We start from the raw sequence: 3,165 nt of genomic DNA on the forward strand, positions 1-3,165 counted from the left end.
GGATACCATATATGTAACATACCTCTCATGTTCACGTTGGAGTGGGTTTTAGCATTAAAATGAGGTGGCATGTGGCTCTCTACTTCAAAAGGTGAACTACACAAAGACAGTTTTTGCACAGCCTCTATGAGTTGCTGAAACTGGCTTAAGGTCTGCAGTTGCTTATCAGAAAAAGGTGTTTGTAAGGCCAGCCCTCTGCCCAGTCAGAGTTGTTGTGGTCTGGCTTTTAAATCAGAATTAGGAGGGCTCTCATAACTCCTATTCTTAGGAAGTTTAGCAAGAGTGTGTTTTTCTTGCAGCCTTAGGAATTTAGGAAGTTGTCATGCCAGTCAAGTCCTGAACCCTAGACTTATAGGTAAATTTCATTTCCTTAACCTTAGAGTCCATCTTAGTTAATAAAGGGATACCTATTTTGGTCTCTCAGATGACATTTTCTTTCCCCTCTTCTCCTCCTCCTCCTTGTCCTCCTTCTCCACCTCCTTCTTCCCCCTCCTCCTCTCCCCCCGCTCCTCTATTGCATCCTTCAAGACAGAAAAGAAGCTATCAGATGCTCTGCATCCTCCTGCCTAAAAGCCTTCAATTGGTCTTAATTCCTACAGGATTTCCTCATCTGACTCTACTGCTTTTTGTATGATATGTGTAAAATATGATTTCTACCAGATTGCTTAGGATTATCCTTTGAATCGAAAAGAAGTGGTCGTATTGAACTAGTTTTGTCGTCAGAAAGATTTGGGTTTGGATCTCAGTTTCAGCACTTTTGGGCTATTTGACTTTCAGCACTTTACCTAAATTCTTTAAATTTTAATTTCCTGTAACATAGGAGTAATATTTCTTATCTCATAGAATATATAAAGTATTTAGTGTAGTATCTTTGACATTAATAGAAACTGAAAAAAATGGTACTTTAAAAGCTTTAAAGCTGATATTACCAATTACTACCGTCATAATAATAATAGTTATTCTAACAATCGCCTTACTGCAAACAGATTTCTTAAAGGGTTCTTAAAGATTTCTTTACTATCCCTTATTTGAGCAACGCCACTTTAAAGTACATATGAACACACATTTATTTAGCCTACTTATAATCTGTTGTTTCTTCACAGTATTAATAAACACTAAAAACATTTATTCTCTTAGAAATACTTAAATTTGAAATGAATGGGGATAGTTTCAATTAACCCAAAGGAAGAGATAGCTATAGACTTCTCAGGACCCTTAAATCGCGTTATAGGAAATTACTATCTCGTTTGTAAAATGAAATGGGGGATAATAATCATAGTGCTCATGACACAGGACGTTGCTAACAGTGAAGGCAGTAATGCATTGGAAGTGCTCCTCCCCGTGCCCTACAGGCAGCTTTTGCAACAATAAAGAGAGGAGAGCTGCCCATGGGCTATCGCATTCCTCCTCACTGACAGCATCTTAGTCTCTCTAGGAGGTACCCACTCAACAGATGCAGTTCACTTTTTTTTTTCTTTGAGGCGGAGTCTCGCTCTGTTGCCCAGGCTGGAGTGCAGTGGCAAGATCTCGGCTCACTGCAAGCTCTGCCTCATGGGTTCACGCCATTCTCCTGCCTCAGCCTCCTGAGTAGCTAGGACTACAGGTGCCCGCCACCATGCCCGGCTAATTTTTTGTATTTTTAGTAGAGATGGGGTTTCACCGTGTTAGCCAGGATGGTCTCGATCTCCTGACCTCGTGATCTGCCCGCCTTGGCCTCCCAGAGTGCTGGGATTACAGGTGTGAGCCACCGCACCCGGCCCAGATGCAGTTCACCTTTATCAGCACTTCTGAATTCTTTGCTGCCACTTTAGTTATGATGGTAACATAAACTGCCACTTTAGTTATGATGATACCATAGAAAGTTGTATTTAGAAAAGTATCCTGCTTCAACGAACATTTTTCCACTACATATTTATTCCACTACATATTTAAGAATAAATATATAGTCAGTATAATGATCTCATCATGCTTGTTCTTGTGCGTCTATTTATTAATTTGTATCAGAGAAACTAACTGTTGAATTAATATATATCATTTCGATTTTCTTCTTTTTCAGCATAAATTATACATAAACTATTTAAACACAGATTCTGGTTTTTAGAAGGCATTTTGAATATTCAGGTTCTTAGAGTACTATGAAGAGGAACATTAAACCTGATACTTAGAGAAAACATACATCTCATCCATGAACCTAGTTGTGATATGGACAGAAGGCAGGAAAATACTGGGTGGAAAAGGGTGGTCCCCAGGGAGGGCCACACCGTCAAACCTGGGACCATGGCCCAAGTGAGAACATGCATTCTTGTTTTCCTGCTTGAATGTTGCTTTTTGGCCCGCCCTGCCCCCATCCTGTACCCATAAAATCCCCAGGCCTCACTGGCAGAGCAGCAGAGAAGGAGAGAAGAGAAGAAGCAGCCAGACATTGGAGAAAAGTAGCTTGACTTCAGAGGGCCGGCTTGACGGTGGGACCTTGAAGAGAAGTTCCACTGGGGATGGCCAAACTCCAGGGGAAGACCACCTTCCCACTCCATTCCCTTTCCAGCTCCCCATCCCACTGAAAGCCCCTTCCACTGCTCAATAAAATCCTGCACACTCACCACCCTTCAATTGGTTTTTGTGACCCACTTCTTCCTGGAGCCCACACAACCACCTGTGTGTGGGTGCAAGAGGCTGTCACACTGCCCCTTCACTGAGCTGTTTAAGACTGAAGCCACCCACGGACGCAAAGCTAAAAGAGCACAGTGTAACGCACATCCTCTGAGGCTCTGGGGGTCTTGGGCAACCCCTAGATGCTGCCGTGGGCCCACACAGAGTTCTGCTCCTGCCGGTTGCCCAGAAGCACACATCCTGGCCTCTGTACCTGCTCACCTGTGTGCTCCCCATCCTGCAAGGGGTTGAGAGCTGCAAGCTCAGTAAATGAGCCAGCCCCTTTCTGAGTCCCTTGAAGGGGTCAAGGGAATTAATTATCCCCTTTTTTTTTTTTTTTTGAGACGGAGTCTTGCTCTGTCACCCAGGCTGGAGTGCAGTGGCGTGATCTTGGCTCACTGCAATCTCCGCCTCCCGGGTTCACGCCATTCTCCTGCCTCAGCCTCCCGAGTAGCTGGGACTACAGGCGCCCGCCACCAAGCCCGGCTAATTTTTTGTATTTTTAGTAGAGACGGGGTT

Source organism: Homo sapiens, chromosome 10, assembly GCF_000001405.40.
Source record: "Homo sapiens chromosome 10, GRCh38.p14 Primary Assembly".
Lineage (NCBI taxonomy): Eukaryota > Metazoa > Chordata > Mammalia > Primates > Hominidae > Homo > Homo sapiens.